This window comes from Homo sapiens, chromosome 14 (assembly GCF_000001405.40).
Source record: "Homo sapiens chromosome 14, GRCh38.p14 Primary Assembly".
NCBI lineage: Eukaryota > Metazoa > Chordata > Mammalia > Primates > Hominidae > Homo > Homo sapiens.
In genome coordinates this window covers 53,509,537-53,527,374 of record NC_000014.9, presented here as the reverse complement: position 1 = coordinate 53,527,374, position 17,838 = coordinate 53,509,537, and the positions used below count along the sequence as shown (strand labels likewise).

At 41.0% G+C, this 17,838-nt stretch overlaps 1 long non-coding RNA gene across 6 annotated transcripts in view; it reads right to left on the bottom strand.

The window, feature by feature from the left end:
* Positions 1 to 17,838, bottom strand: part of LOC105370504 (uncharacterized) — a 402,142-nt gene that overhangs the window by 195,419 nt on the left and 188,885 nt on the right. For 2 of the 6 annotated variants that reach the window (XR_007064173.1, XR_007064174.1), the window contains exon 3: positions 608 to 16,650. The exons of 3 other annotated variants lie outside the window; for them this stretch is intronic. This is a non-coding gene — a long non-coding RNA (uncharacterized LOC105370504). Of the gene's footprint in view, positions 1 to 607; positions 16,651 to 17,838 lie in introns of those variants that run through there. One more of the 6 variants, XR_007064175.1, reaches the window with a different exon arrangement.

Genomic DNA, 17,838 nt, shown 5'->3' with positions numbered 1-17,838 from the left:
ACTTTGCCTCTCATCAGCCAACCTGAAGGTGGCCCCTTCAGTTTAATGGCAGTATTTTCATATGCTGGTTTTAAGCCTCCATGTTCCCTAAAGACAGTGGATCAGAATAATCCTTTGACTTTTTCCATGCTGGGACACTCATATGGTAACTTCCTCCCCTCCCTACCCAGCTCTGGTCCCCAAGACCCAAACTTCAACCCTGACCTATCGAGTCCCAGTCCCCATGGAATTGAGGTGGGGAAGAGTGAGGCATTTCATTTCTCTGTTGCAGGGCAGCTTGTTGCCTTATTAAGGAGACTCAAGCCATAGGATTAAGCAGAAAGACTACCCTCTTTGTGAGACAATCAGAGGAAATAAGGGGATGTTAATGAACAATAGCAAAAAGAAAGAAGAAAAATAGTAGCAACCAGCAGTATTCCTACCTCCTCACTGTCTACAGCCAAAAGTTGTGGTATCTCCTATGTAGAGAAGTTGACTGCCTTTTATAAGTGATATTTTAACCATTCTTTGCCCTCAATGAGATCTCAGTAGCCACAGTATTTAAAAAGAGCATTCCAAATACAGTCATTGCCAGGACCAAAAACAGATAAAGCTGTTAGAACCTAAATAACATGCTCATAGATTTTATTTGGAAGGTGAGGAATACGCCAGAATAATGCCCATTCAGCCAGAGAAGCCTTCATACAAGAGGATGGATTTTTAAGATCCTTGAAAACTAGCAGTAAGACAACTTAGAAAGCCCGGCAAAGGAGGCAATTCCAAGGGTAAGAGACCCCAAGCACATGGGCTTAGAGCTGCGCCTGCTACACAGCTGGAAAGAGAGGATGTTGTAGAGGGAAGCTTGGAATGGCGAAGAAGAGGAAATAGCAATTGCTACTGCTCATTATTCAAAAAGAAGCCAAGATCTAGAAAGGATGGATAATGCACTGGACCCAGCTTATGCCCTGCCCCCACCCTGGATTTACTCAGCCATGGTCTCCAGCTGCTGATGACTCTTCAGGAAGCTTGCCCAGCACCAAGCAGTCATATAGGCCACAAAGAAGTTTTGCTCTTCACTGGAGGAAGGATCATCTCTGTCTTCATGGTGACAATCTGCAGGCTGGGCTAGCTGGGTCTGCTGCAGCAGCTGCTCCTGGAATCTGAGGTAATGTGTGGCTATGACCGAAAACACCTCATGCCTAGAGCCTCCTGCCTCTTGCCAAAGGCTCTGTTTTAGTCTCTATGGTGGGCAGTACCATGGGACCCTCTCGGTGTTCACTACCTGCCCTGGTTCATGCTGGTTCTGCAGTGTGCCAGAGGTCTAGCCCGCAGGGCGCTTGGCTTGCTCCTACTTACTGCATGCCCCATAAGCTGCAGGTCATGCTGAGGAGGTGGCTACTAACATGGGTTCAGATTTCCATAGTGGCTGTAGCAGGACAGGTCATACAACCCAGAAGTGTGGAGGAGTTGCAGGGCAAGCTTTCACCAATGGGAGATGGAAGCTAATGGATGAATCCTCTTCTCCTCATTCCTCTGCGTGGACTGTTCTGAAACACAGCAATTCATGCCAGCTCCTAAAGATGACCTAAAAGATTGAGCAATCAATAGTACTGTTACAAAGCAGTGGCCAGCTTGGGAATGTGCTCCTTCGTAGCTGCTCTTCCTCCTATCTCCTGTGCTGCCTCCCTCTCTTTTTTCTTCACTATTGTTTCTCTAGAATGACACTTCCCATGAAAGTGATAACATATACAGTTTTGCCTCAGGCTTTATTTCTAAGGTGACAGTGGGTTATGGTAAGTGATGTCCCCAATGCTACACAATTTGAAAGAGACAAAGCTGGGATTTGAAGCCAAGCCTATTCAACGATGATATACAGTTGAACAGAGACCCCAGGGAGCCATATAGACAAAGGAAAGGGTAGTGACTCTAATGAAAAAACTAGGACAGGCCTGTCTGACCTCTGGAAGAAGAAATGAGGTAAACAAATACAGGGACAAGCACCATGCTCTGCAATTTTGGCTGTCTACATCCAGAGGAAAATCAAAGCTACCAGATCTGCCTTCCCTCTTCCATCGCAAGCTGTCTTGCAATTATCAAAAAAGTGTGGGCAGCAGATGAGTTTATTGTGTTTACTTTGTTTTGTTTGTTTTGTGGGATTATCCCAGGAGAGGGAATTGCCTAGTGATAACAGTAAGTTTGTTTCTCTGTAATTTTCACTCTGTTTTAGGTGCCTTCAAGTGCACTATCTCTAAAATGGGCACAAAACATTATTGGCTACTTACTTCACAAAAGACTTTTTACTCTATCTTTATGATATTAAGAGAAAGGCTGAGATTTAAGGATCTTGACACAGAACACCAATTACCACAATTCTTGCATTTTTTTATTACCCTCGTTGTCTTCTCTCTATATATCAATTCTTCAATTCTTCAAGAACATTTAAGTTAAAAAAAAAACTCTACTTGGGAAATAACAATAGCATCGTTTCCTGGAAAAGTCCATCATCTTTAGCAAAGAGATGTAATTTATAAGATGTGTGATTTCTTGTACTATCTTTAGGAGCTTTTGGTTTTCACATTGCACACTGACATCTCAGTAAAGAAAAAAAGATCTCCAGCATGTATTTGTCAGCTCTACCTCATAGATCTAGAGATAACTTTCTCCAGTTGTAAGGAAGGCGGGTCACATATTACCAAATAAATCTTCTCTGGTTTCTCTTCTAACGAGTTATGCATCTTCTCCCTGTAGTACTATTAACTCGATGACAAAATAATTCCCTTGGATTCTAATAATCCTCCTAGCTCATCTCCTTGAACTCTCATTTCAGTCTCTACAACATGTCTGGCTTCAAGCAACATCACTGTTATCTCATTTATCCTCTTACATACACCCCTCCCCATTTCCTTCATTTGATCAAGGACAATTCATGAGTAAAGATCACAGACGAGTTTCCTTATCAACCTAAAAACACCATGGCTATCAGAGAAAACTAAAAATATTGAAGCTATCCTTCTGGAACCCTTAACAGGATTCCAGAAATGTCTAAAAATCAAGTATAAGCCTGGTATTAAAATCTTTCTTTTACTGCAAATGTGTCCCAGTGAATAACGATAAAGGTAAAAAAATTTTTAAAAGATTAAAAAAAAGTATTGAGCTGAATACATTTGGAATTTCTAGCTAGTGATGGCTGGATTCCAACCCACCATCAGATCTTCAAGGAAGCACCAGGAGAGCTTCATGTGGCCTATTAGTAAAACCAGTTAAATAACATGTTCAGAATCATCACATGGGTATATCTCTCGCTCTGTCTCTGAATATTTAGCAATATTCAGTGTCTCTGTCTCTCTCTCTTTCTCTCTCACACACACACAAACACACACATACACACACACATGCAGCTTCTATCTGCCATCCTTATTGCAGTAGAATTTTACATGATTGAAACAGAGATTAAGGGCAGCTTTGAATAGGAAAAGAAATTACTTCTCCAAGTCCATGAGGCTGGCCAGGACACATGTGTGGAAATAGAGAGCACTGTCCAACTCTATGCCTTAATTACGAGGTTGACAGTGGGTATTTCAATGACTACAATATACCTCCTTGGGCATGGTGGCCTTTTTAGACTTGTGACAACACTCTCTTTTTCCTTACCCAACTGCCAACACCGGAGGAGTCCCCAGACCAAGGGCCTTCATAAGATCAATCGCCATGTCCACATAAAACATCAATCATAAGATCAATTGGGACAATACTGCTTGCAAAAGACCACTTGTTCATTGAAAACCTCCATCTTCTCAAAAAATAATCACTACAACTCAAAATGATAGAATCAGATGGATTTTAGTTTAGTTTTTAAAAAACCGCAAACTTTGGCCTCCTTTTTAATTGTGTTTTAAGTGTTCGGTTTACTTTGTTTTGTTCTGCTTACTTTGACTGCAATGGCTTATTGGCACCCATGTAAGGCATTTCAACAGGCCAAGTGATTCACATGCCATCCAAAGTGCACAGACAAAAATACTTTCAGAGAAGTCCAAAGAGGGAAGATTATCCATTTGGTCAACTTTCTGCTTGAATGAGAGTCACCACTGTGTTCCTACTGTGAGTCCAGCCTTTGTATTCTGGTGGTTACTGAAGTTGAGAGGAAACCAGGAAGAAAAGAACGGTGGCCTTTTTTTTTGGCAATATTCAGTGTTGGAAAAATAATCTGTATTTGTTGAGATTTCAGGCTGAAGATGCAACAAAATCGTACAAAGAGTCGAGGAAGCCTATTCTCTCAAAAAGAATTCTATTTGACTGAGAGTCCAAGGGGAAAGTCACACCTGCAAAGCCCATCTATCTCCATCGGTAGTATGAAGGGAGAAATCTGGTGACCTTCTTATGATTTCTTTTTCTCAAGTCTATATGTAAGGACACACCAATATAGTTAAAAGAAACAACACAGTGAAAAAAGAAGTATTTTTTTTTCTTTAAGTTCTGGGATACATGTGCCGAACATGCAGGTTTGTTACATAGGTATACGTGTGCCATGGTGGTCTGCTGCACCTATCAGCCCGTCATCCAGGTTTTAAGCCCTGCATGCATTAGGTATTTGTCCTACTGCTCTCCCTCCTCTTGTCCCCTACCCCCTGATAGGCCCTGGTGTGTGATGTTTTCCTCCCTGTGTCCCCGTGTTCTCATTGTTCAACTCCCACTTATGAGTGAGAACATAGTGTTTGGTTTTCTGTTCCTGTATTAGTTGGCTGAGGATGATAGTTTCCAGCTTCATCCATGTTCCTGCAAAGGACATGAACTCATCCTTTTTTATGGCTGCATAGTATTCCACTTGGAACCAACCCAAATGCCCAGCAAAAGAAGTCTTATTGATAGTAATGATCATGCTTTCCTAGGGAACTCCCACAATTCTCAAGTTCTTTATGGTTTTTCTGACTTCTGACTTTTTTCTATACTCACATGGCTTTATACTGTTTTCCACTGCAGATGACAAGATTTAATGAGAATATTGTCAAAGAAAAATGTATTCAGGAAGGAGAAGGAAGCAAACACCTTTTAAAAAATATTACAAGAACGAAAGATCTGGTAAGAGGGTCATGTAAGGAATCACTGAGCTTACAGAAGACATTTAGTAAACAGAAAACCATCTGAAAAGAAATCATGATAGTATTTCTGTGTGAAAAAGAAAGAAGGCTTATCTGTGTAACCCTTCAAGACAGAACTATGCCTAAGATTTGGCATAATGCAAAGAGACTTTGGTTTATTAAACAACAGAGTTGTCTAACATTAGAATATATTGGATAAGTAAGGAGCGAGCTTTTCAACATTGGGAATATTTTAATAAAGACTAAATGAGTCCTTGTCAGGACTGTTGGCTAAGGGAATGTCTGCTTGGACTGATCATTGAACAATCTTTCCAACTAAAAGCTTCTATGATTCTCTAAGTAGCAATCAGCACCGACAGTTATGATTAATTTTTTCAAAATAAAAAAGTTGGAAGCAAATAATTAAATGTACCCCAAATTGCCTTTAAGTAAAATTGTTCATTGTTCACCTACTCATCCACTTATTGAATAATTCTTTGAGTCTCTGGAACATACCTATGTGTTTTTAGGTGCTGTGGTACAGTGATGGAAAAGACAGATGAGGACACTCTCATGGCACCTGCATTCCCGCGGGGTACCACACAATAAATGTTTTTACAAACATACATGAGTTAAATTCAGTGATATATTCTATGAATAAAAGAGGAATAGGATAGAGAGTGGAGGGGGAAGCTGCTTCAGCCAGGGCCTGCAGGGAGGTCCACTTAAGAGTAGAAATACCATTTGAGCTTAAGACCTGAATGAATAGAAAAAGTTGGCTATGTCAAGATCTAAGGGAAGAGAGGTTCAGCCAGGGGAAAGGGCAAGTGGAAAGACTCCTGAGGCAGACAGGATCTTAACCCAGAAGTAGAATGAGATGGAGTCCAAGAGAAAGGCAAAATACAGGTCATGTAGGACACAGTAGACCCTTGTGAGACATTTGTATTACACTCCCATTGCAGTGGAAAGCCACCAGACAGTGATAGCAAGGGAGTGGTGTGGTCAGATTTACTTTTTAGAGCCACTCTGGCTATTGTGTAGAACATGGCCGTCAGGAGTTAAGGGGAGAAGCGAAGCAGGAGGGCTGGTTAGGAATCTGTCACAGTGGTCTAGGTGAGAATGACCAAGGGCTCAGGATGTTGCACAATTCACATGGCATGCTGACTATTTTTTAAACATTTAGATGCACCGCCAATCGGAATGCTGTTCAAAGTATAAATTATTGAACAGTGTATGTACATGTGTCTACATCTATATGTATATGTGTATGTGCTTGTACACCTTGAACAGTGTACACACAGTATTTTTAAAGCTGAGAACAGGAGTTAACTAGAAAGCAATATTTGATACCCTAGTATGGATCAAATTGAAGGAGAATTCAATTAAAAAAAAGAAAACAGGCAAGTTTTCATTTTATTTGTCCCCAAAACTGCCTCAACCAGTTTTCCAAAGGAAAGTCAAAAGCCCATTATGTCCAGTTATGTAGTTATATTTAAATTATAATGAAATTGATATTTATGACACCTGCTGACGTGAGAAGACAAAAGGGGAATAAGCCACAGCCTAAGTCTGGTGACCTTCCTGTGGCCTGCCACAGAGCCACAAATAACAATTACCATCACACGTGAGAGACTCCTCCAGGCTTATCAAACAGGAGAGAAATAAAAAGCTAACTTACAAGTGTTCATTCTTATTTCTTGTATTCTTACTTTGGGAGAAAATATTCAGTTGTTTAGAAACTACAGGTGACATGACCATTCAAGCCAGGATTTAAACACTGGTATTACGTGCAGATGGATAAGCCATCAATCACTTGGCCGTAGGTGGAAAATCTTTGCTTAAGTCATCAACACTCCCAAGTGTAATCCTACCTGTGTTAAGCAGGGGCATTTCTGTTTTTCTACTGTGATTTGATATTGAGAAATAACATGAGCAGATAAGCTTTATAACAGCACAAGAAAACCCTGTCATTTCTAACAAATGAAAACCACTGGGCTGTGTGAGTTGAACTCTGGCTCCTGGTCAGTGTGCATGATGACCAGGCAATGTGGCGGAACCCAATCACGCAGAGAGCTGAGCAAGTAGAGCAGCTGAAATCAACGAGGGACAGAGAGGGTGGGGAAAATTGACCCAATGAGATAAAGAGATTAGCTGGCTCCTAAATCTTCAAAATTATTCCTTTACTATGTTTTTTCAATTTATTTAAAGTTGACAGCTAACTCACTCACAGCCTGGGTGACAGAGTGAGACTCTGTCTCAAAATAAATAAATAAAATGAAGTTGACAGCTAACTTAGGGGACTTAAGTCATTCCTGAAGGCTTTGCGCTCAGGCAGATCACATCCAGAGTGGTCCTGACCTCCATGTTGAAAATTTGGTCACTGTCATTTCCATTGTGAAAACTTTGAGGAGGACTGTTAGTATTTAATGCCTATTGAATGGTTTAGGCTTGGGAGCCATTCAAAATACCCCTCTCTTTCTTCTCGTTCTTCCCACCCTTGTTTCACCAAGCCTCAATGTGGCTCCACTCACTCTTTTCCTGTTCGCATTTGCTATAGTTTGGTTTCCTTGACCCATCCAAATGTCATGATGAAATCTGATACCCATTGTTGGAGGTGGGGCCTACTACGAAGTGTTTGGGTCATGGAGGTGGATCCTACATGAATAACTTGGTGCCATCCTTGCAGTAATGAGTGAGGTCCTCACAGTAATGAGTAAGTTCTTGCTCTATTATTTCCTGTGAGAGCTGGTTGTTAAAGAGAGCCTGCGCTTTCCTCCATGCCCCCTTCTTGCTTCCTCTCTTACCATGTGATATTTGCATATACCAGCTTCCCTCCCCTTCCACCATAGTTGGAAGCTGCCTAAAGCCCTCACCAGAAGCAGAAGCTGGTGCCATGCTTCTTGTACAGCCTGCAGAACTGTGAGTCAAATAATTTATAAATTACTCAGCCTCAGGCATTCTTTTGTAGTAACCCTAGAAGGACTAAGACAACATTTCTCGCCTTCATCCACAAAGCAGTTGGGCATCCAGTCAATAGTAAGGATAGTAGTTGCAGCCACAGGAGAGGGAGGCTCCTGGACTTAGAGACATTCACCTTTTTTATGGCTAATGCCTGTTATTATTACCCAGTGTTTGGGAAAGAGATTTGTCATTGGAGTAAACATGTGTATGTATATATACATGCCTATGTGTATGCATTTATAGACATGTCTAATACATATGTTCTAAAAGAGAATCGGGATGAAATAGCCACAAATTTGTGATAGCTATTAACATATTTATCACTCATTATATCGCTATAAGTGATATAATAATCCAGTATAATCCAGGCCAATTACTAACAATAATCACAGGATAGCAATACAATGTAGGGGTGAAGAGTAGGTCTTTAGACCCAGACTGCCTGGATTCATACCTTGCTTCACTACTAACTTACTGGGTGACCTTAGGTAAGTTAGTTAAACTCTCTGTGACTCAGTTTCTTCATTTGGGATAACAATATTTCTTGCTTATTTTTTTGTGACGATTAAGTTCACCTAGTAAGTTACAATGTGGTAAGCACTGTTTATGTACTAGATGCTAGGGACTATCATAAGCAAGACAGACGTGGTCTCTGGTCTCACGCGGCTTACATTCTAGTGGGTTGGGCACTATATGTGGTTCATCTGTGCCATGAACCATTTCAAAAAAGTTTGAAAAAAGAATCAGTCTTAAAGAGAGAAAAAAAACCCACAATTTTATCTGTCCACAGGCAAGAAACTAACATGTTAATGTCCTTTAGATCTATATCCTGATCATGTCATTTCTATGTAAATATATCACCTCTGTTTTATGAGCCACTTAATATTTTATATTAATTTTCCTCATATTGGTCTGCTTCTGCCTCATCAGAAGGAAAGTACACACTATGAAGCTCCCTTACCTCAAACAGTAACACATTTGACTATAGAAGACAAGGAAATGTGAACAGCATGAGTGAATCTTGAAGCAGATACTAAAAAAATTCATCAGCAAGTTATTTTCAAACTCAAAGAGAAGAAAATGTCAAGTTGAGCTCCATTATAGTTTCATTCTCATCGAGAAATCACAGCTTAAACTATCCACAGAGAAGGCTTGTCTCCGGCAAAGAAATTCAACACTCACTTACATATGCTTGGGTTTGAAAAATCATAATATTGAATCTCAGAATAAGTGTAGGACACCTAATTGAAGTCCAGTGGCCTAGATCCTAATCCTGAGAAAGCTGCTAACAAGTAATCAAACCTCACAGGCCTTAGTTTCCTCTTCTGTGAAATGGGAGAAGAGTTTCTACCCTATTTATGTCACAGGTGATAATCATGTGAGAGAGCATGATAGAAAATAGAGCATGGTACCACAAGTAGTGGTAAAGAGAGCCTGCACTTCTTTCCCTGCCCCCTGGGAAGGAAGGACTGCCCCAGTCTTGATGCTGGGGCATGGACCATGTAGAGATGGTAGAGATGACTTTCAGATGACCAACTATATCGGTCAGAGTTCAACCAGAGAAACAGAAACTGTAGAGATTTGCTCCAGGGAATTGTCCTCGTGGGAGCTGAATAAGCAGTCTCTGTGAGGCTGTTGTCTCCATGTCTGAGTCTGGAGCTGGATGTCCATAGGACAAGCAATCAGAAAGAGAAGATAGATGCAAAAAATATCCCAGGCAGGCTGGAAGCCATAGGCACAGGTAGACTGATCTTGGTGATACATAGAAGTCAAGGCCCTTTGCCATGGAACTAAACACACACCTTGCACAGGAGGTGGAGAAACAGAGCAGAGTTTATAAATGCTTCTTCACACCAACCACAAGTTGACTCAGCAGACCAGCAACAGCATATGAGTTACAAGATGGCCCCTGCTTCCCTTCTGTCCTATAAATCTCCCAAGAATTTTCTTTGTGGTTCTTCTATTACCAGAAACATATAAAAAAGTGAATTCTGGGAAATGCAGTTCTGCCTAGCCAAGTTGATACACTACAAAACCATCACAAAACCCTTGATTAGGATTGAGAAATTGACATAGTAATTTTCACTTTGCTAAATAATGTGTCACTGACTGCTACAGTACAAATGTCACTAAGTGCTAAAGTACTGGTATGTATCTATGGCAATGGTTAAAAGCAAGAACTTTGGAGTCTCCCTGACCCAAATTTGAATCCAATGTTTACCACTTTTTTGTTTGGAACATCAAGCAAGCAAATTATTTGACTCTCTGTGCCTCAGTTTCTTCATCTCTAAAACTGGGACTATAATACCTGTTTTATTGACAAGATCAAAGATTAGGGAGAAGATGCAAGTAAAATGCTCGTACAGTGCCTATTACATAGTCAGTGCTCAGTAAGTGATTGATCTATTGTAATGGTCACCTGTCATCACCTCTTAAGAACTAACCACATTAGAATCAAGTGTCTGAAGAGATGCCCAGAGATCTCTTTTCCCCACTCGGCCTTAAGTGTATGCTTAAGGCGAGCGCAGAAGTGCTTGAAGACCATCCTTGAGGCAAATAAGAATGGAAGCAATTTATACATCAAATCATAGAGGCTGACTATTTTCATATTTTCCCAGCTGCCAGAGATACTTGCTGAAAGAGCATTGGTATTTTGAAGCCTTATACTTCCAAGTTGACTCACACTGTGGGTTCATCAGAAAAACATTTTACTAGGAAAGCCAAATTATGTTGGACAATATATGCCAAGCAATAGAATTATGAGCATGGACTCTGGGGACAGACTGCCTGTGTTCAAATCCTGGCACCACCATTTATTGTGCTTAGCTGTTATATAAACTCTTACTTTCTCTCTTTCATTCTCTACATCTGCAAAATGAAAACAATACTAGCATCTACGTCATAGAGTCACTGTGAGGACTAATGAGTTAAAATATGTAAAATGCTTAGCATAGTAAGTGTAGTAGTCATAAGCTAAGCACTTACTATCATGATTGTTGCCATCATCCGCAGATCTCTCATCTTCTTTAGGCCAGGAACTGGCTCCTACAAACTCTGGTCCATCCACACCCAGCAGGAAGCAGAAAAGCAAGCAAGGAAAAATTGATCTCCACCCAAGGATGATTATTCGACTTTCTAACATGTGCACTCTGACTTATTATTACCTACATGCTCCTTTCTGCCTAAGTAGCCTCCTCTAGACTTAACTCCTCACCTGTCCAGACCTGGGGAATCCATCCATTCTTCATGTGTAGCTGAATTTTAAGACCTTCTTCCTGGCCACTTGTGGCCAGGTCAGCGACAGTCCATTAGAAAAAAACTTCTGTGACACCCTTATGCCTAAAAAGAATTGGTGAAATCGTTTCCCATTACTTGTTTGAACAAACCAAAATAGCGGACTATTGCACAGTCTCATTGTCCTGAAGAGAATGCAATTCTCAAGCTCTTTGCTCACCCATGGGAAAGTATCAGATCATTGCAAATTGCAAATTGAGACTTGCTGCTCTGTAAAGAAAGGCCATGGCTTTTCTCAAATGTTTGCTTTTCCACACTTGCACCTGCACATCACCATAATAGTACAGATTAATCGAGTTTAAATAAAGATGTGTCTAATTCGGAACACAGAAGCTTAAGGAAAGAGCTCTGTTTTTAAGAGATTTCTGTAAATGATTTAGCAAAGTTGAGCATATATAATCTGTCCAAAGTGCTAGCACACTTGCTTCAAGCAGCCAATTTTGTAAGCAAAGCTGTGGTTTTCTTGTTCCTTCTGTGAGCTGTGGCTGCCGTTTCCTCACGGCCCAGCCCTCAGTGATGCACGAACTGGGGATGTATTTCTCATTTGTGCATAAAAGTGGTTTCCTTGAATTATGAGCCCCAAAGTTCCAAGACACTTACAGTCTGGGTGGCCACACAGGAATAAGTGTATAAAAGTCTGTTCTTAGCATGGCTCAAGGAGTGAACATATTCACTTCAAACAACTTGTCTCTCTGGGAACACACTAACAGCCCTCCACCAGAGCGAGGCATATTTGTGGTCGTGATGTACTACAGCAATGGTACAAGGAGACACACACTAAGAGAAATTAGAACACCAAAGAGAAAAATAAGTCCAGCTTCTCATAGGAAAGGATCCTTTAGCTCCCTTTCCTCTCCACTCTCTACCAAAACATCTTAGCTCCTTGGAATTCAACAGCAATGCCAAAGGGAGGTTGTGTTCATGAATCCAGTGGTAAGCCCAACAGTAGCAGAAGTTATTAATAAAATCTACACTTTCAAAAGGAATTATATATTTATATGTATATATATATATACAGAATTATTTTGAGAAAAGGCCTCCTAATTTTTATTAATTACACAAAATAGAAACTCCTTTAGAGGAAAAAGGTGCCATCCTTTTTGGAATTGGAGAAGGAAGGCTCTTGTTGGCCATGCAGGGTTGCTTGAGTGGTGTGTATGCATCAGGACCCAAGCCTGGTAGAGAGTGAGCTGGTGCAGCCCAGAGCGAGCCTCAGGCCACCCCAGAGACTGAGGATCATTGTCACCAAATGTGTCACCTCTGTTCTAGTGGAACAGGGGAGAACAGAGGGGAATTTTGTCACCTGGAATAAATGCAAGTTCTTGACATTCAGGAGATCTGTTTTCTTTTCTGAGTGGTCCTGAGGCCCCAGAAACTTGTTCTTCTAGAAGCCAAGAGATCTCTAAAATGATTATAACTATCTGCCTGGACATTGACTCAAATTGGAAGTACTCATCTTCCTCTGCTCCTTCTTTGCCTCCTATGCACCTAGGAATAGAATTATTCTTGATTATAAAGTACACATTTGCCTATTAAAATAAAACTGCCAAACTAAGCAACATCATGATAAGCCATTATGAACGCATGAATTTGATTTTGTTTGGTTGTATGTGCACTTGAACTAAAATTGTCTACAGATGTATTTCTGACTATAGAATAGATACACCCCTTAAGAGCTGCCAGGAAATCTTTGAAAATAGAAACGTATCTTTAGAGTGCTAAGGGAGCTCATTATTTCCAAGAACCCTGAGGTGAATTATTTAGTAGAGAAACAATGTGTATTTATGGAGGGCTTAATGGGCAAAGGATATGAAAGAAATATAAGACACGATCTTTGACCTCAATCAGATTTCAATTGAGTGAATTATTTCAAAAATTTAGACTTCCGTATATCGAATTTTCTTCAAATGAGGCCACCTGTACAGCATCCAAGAAGTCTGAATTTCACCTTGTATCAGGGAAGCAGCCTGTGATAAGGCCCTGTGGTCAGATAATGCCACTTCCTTACAGCTGAGACAATCCTGAACTTCTTAGATATCTTGGGCCATCCAACCTGCAAAGGTGATTGTATAAGATGGAGCAACTTCCAAGGCAAGTTGAGCAGTCTCTCCTCCTCCTTCCATTGCTTTCTCATGCCGTACTGCCTTTGTTCACACATCACACATACACAGACATCTGGAAACATGCACACACACACACACACACACACACACACACACATGTTTACACAGCTTCTGGTGTCTTAGGTCATACTTCTTGGTAACCTCAGCCCTTCCACAGTGAGATCTTATTAGAATGAGTTAAACATCACCAGCCTGTTCTCCAGGCCCTCAATGACTTCATCCTTCCTTCTTATCTCTCCCAATCAGAGAAGAATCAGAGGCAAGATATAGAGGCCTCTCTGAGCCCCTCAAATCACACCATGTCAGTGGCCCTAGTCTATTTGTGCCTAGATTCTGCTCTGTCCTCAATAAAATGGGAACAAACTCACTGTGGCATAGCTACAGAGACTCCTCACTCTGTTGGTTCAGTTATACCTAAGAATGCACCCAGATGGCTGAAAGGACCCTAGTGGTCTCCTAAATCTGCTTTAAACAACAAAGATCTATTGGTGGTTTAATGGCAGCAAGTAAAGCCACAGAGCAGGTCATGCTCACTGGCCTGGGGACACAATGGCAATAAGGAGATGTTTCTCCTTAGAGGCCCCCTATGGTGTTCCATAGGTGTCCTACACAGGGGTGACTGACTAAACTGGCACTCCATAAACCTTTCTACCAGCACACCACTCTATGAATGGTTGCATGTTTCTAATGCAACATGTCTTCACTTTCTATGTCATTCATTTGGCCACCTCCTCCTCGACACACACCCTGTTATCTTGGTTTCTGTGTCACCATGCTTTCCTAGTTTTATCTCTGCGTCTATTAACAACAACAATGGTAATGAGAACTTACATTTATTGAGCGCTTTCCCTGTATCAGACATGGTACTAAGTATATTCCATGTATTATTCCAGCCCTAAGCCCTGACTTCTCACTTTATCCTCCCTCCTTAATCTCTCCCATGGATTTAGAGACCATCTATAAACCAACCATTCCCAATTGCTATCTTCAGCCTAGAATTCTTTTTTGCATTCCAGACCTACTGTCTAACTGCTTAGTTGGAAACTCTTTTTAAATATTTTCGAGGCATTTCAAAGTGAATTGTTCGTCTTTCCTCCCCCAGCAGCCTCTCCTCCAATGTTTCCTGGCTCAGTAAATGCGCTGTAATGACAGGGATATAGATGTCATTCTTGACCTTTCCCTTCCCTCATGTCCAATAATCAATCACAACCCTGTCAGTACAGTCCCCACAATGTATACCAAACCAGCCACTTCCCTCCCTTTCCATTGCCACCTTTCTCAGCTGAACCAATGTCATTGCCTCATCATCAGCCTTCCTACTTTCATTCTTGCCTGTGGCCAACCTGTTCTCCACAAAGCAGTCAGGGTAAACTTTTCAAAATAAAATCATCTCTTCCCTACTCAAAGCCTTTGCTGTGACTTCACATGGCACTTAGGATAAAATCGAGAATTTTCCTATGGCCTCTGCCCACATCTCCAGCCCCACCTCTCACTGTCTACCTCTCCCTCACTCTACTTCAGCCACCATTACTCATTCCCCAAACACTCCAATGTGGTCCCCACCTCAGAGCTCCCCCACAAGCTTCTCTCTTTGCCCTCTTAATATTGACTTCCTTCCCTAGACTATACCCTTTATGAGGGGAAGAACTGTGCCTACTAGCTCAGCACTCTATAGCAGAGCTTGCACAATGCCACTCTATAGCAGAGCTTGCACAATACCTGGACATATAGACAGGTATTCAGCAAATATTTGCTGAATTAAAATATTCAAAAATATCTTTTGAAGGTGTATTATATGCCAGGTATGGTGATAGACATGTGGACTTCTCCACAGGCTAGCTCACAATGGGCACCTGACTTTCCCGAGAGCAAGCAAATGAGAAAGCAAAAGAGGACAAGCAAGACAGAAGCCATCTTTTTGTTAAGATAGATGACATCTCCAAAGTGTTGTTCTATTACTTTTGCCATATCTATTCATTAAAAGCAAGTCACTAGGTCTAGCCCACACACAAGCAGAGGGGATGCCGCTATGGCATGAATACTGGGAAGCAGGGATGACCGGCGACCATCTTAGAGGCTACCTACCTCTAGTGTGGCTACCATGTCCATAATATACAGAAATCTAGCTCTTCATTACTATACACTCTTCAATACTATGTACTTCATGTATAGTATTCTAAGGTAGAAATGAAATAATTTGTTATTTGCATAATTTCCAGTCGTTGAATATTTATGATATTTATAATTTCCCACTAATTTTGCAATAAACATCCTTGAACACATACATTTTCACACTTACCCATTATTTCTAGAAGATCAGTTTCTAGAAGTGAAATTGCTGGGCCAAAGAATCTGTACAATTTAATTATTCATTTATGTTGCTAAATCACCTTCTAAAAAGGTTGTACCAATTTGTCTCTTGAAAATGTCTGACAACATTTTAAATACCAAATATTAAAATGTTTTAATATTCCACTTCACCACAGAAGAAGTCTAGGAACAGTGGCCACCCCCCCCCCCCAACTTTTTTTGTTGTTGTTTGTTTGTTTGTTTGTTTTTTGAGATGGAGTCTCACTCTGTCTCCAGACTGGAGTGCAGTGGCACAATCTCAGCTCACTGCAACCTCTGCCTCCCAGGTTCAAGCGATTCTCCTGCCTCAGCCTCCTGAGTAGCTGTGACTACAGGCATGCGCCACCACACCCAACTAATTTTTGTATTTTTAGTAGAGACAGGGTATCACCATGTTGGCCAGGATGGTCTCAATCTTCTAAGCTCATGATCCATCCACCTCAGCCTCCCAAAGTGCTGGGATTACAGGCATGAGCCACCACGCCCGGCCATCACTTTTCTTCTTCATGGCCTCTTCCTCAGTGTTGCCTTCACTAACTCCTCAGTCAGGTATTTGATCTGAATATGTGACCTCTATACCTGCATATTTTACTTAATTCCTCTTTCTTGCACAGCTTTTCTTCTTCATCTGAGAGATGTTGGTACAGAAAGTATTAGGTAGGATAGACTAGCTAATGCTGCAGTAACAAAAAGCTAGAAATCTCAAAGGCTTACATTTGAAAATTGATTTCTTGCTTATGCAGAGTCCAATTTAGGTTTTGAAGGGCTCTCCAGAACAGCTATTCTTCCAGTGGTGATTCAGGTGCTTCTATCAGGTGGTTCCACCATGTCAACATGTGGTCTCTTCAATTGGAGTATGGGAGGGAGAGCTGAAGGATTAGGTAACAGCTTTTAACTGTCTCAGCCAGGAACTGACATACATCATTTCACTCAAAATGCATTGACCAGAACTAGTCATGAAGCCCCACCCAGGGATTTTGGCAAACATTCAATTTCTGATTGCATTTTAACTTTACTAAATATTGAATAATATCATTAAAATTTAATATTAATACATTTTAATAGTTGATATTATATTATATAGACATGTAGTATAATATGGACATATAATACACATATATTACAATATAGACATAAAATAGACATATAATATATAGATATAATATGGTGATAAATATTTTGATAAATAATTTAATATTTATTAAATTATATCTCTGTCACAAAACACAATAGGTAAAAGAAATATACTTTTATGGCTAACAGGGGCTTCTCTCCATAGGCCCAGAGATTGTCAGCAAATCTGTAGCCATGTGTTGACTTTGGTCTTGTTGGTAAAGTCATATAAAAATACAAAAGTAAGATTGTATATCTCTGGCCTTGCCTTGCTTCGTACAGCCAGACATGTGCCACTTTGCTCCACATGTTGAAACAGCCATTGCCAGATGATGTATTTTTGCAGTGGACACGACTTGGCACAGGACTTTTCCACCTCTCCTGTTTCCAATCACGCATTGCCTGGGCATGTCAGGGTCAGGCTTAAAGACTTGCTAGAACTGGATTCAAGATTTACGAGAACGAGATGTAACCAGGCCTCTCCCAGAGGTTTGGGAAGAACAGCTGGAGTCAGGCCCCTTGCATCATGACAAGAACTATTAAAAACTAAAGCAGTGTGTGTGTGTTTTTTTTTAAAAGATGAGTGTAGAAAAGCAACAAGTAATCCAAAGGAGTATCAAAGGCACCCTCACAAGGGATACTTTTAAAGCAAAAGATCCTAAGGGCTCTGATGCTCTACCTCACTCACATTTCAAACTTGTAAACAAGAAGCAAAAATCATTAGGTTTGAACTGTGGATTTTCTCCCTTGACCCACTCCTGAATGGGGTTGAATCATCCCCACTCCAAGCAGTGAGGGGCTGCTGTGTTCTCCAGGCCCCACCCTATGCTGATGTAATGCACCACGGCTGTGTTTTTCTGATGAGTGTGCTAGGGAGGGTCCTCGCCAGGAGGAGGGAAGCTGTTGCCTAGCACTTCTGGAATAGCAGGGAGAGACGGGAGGCC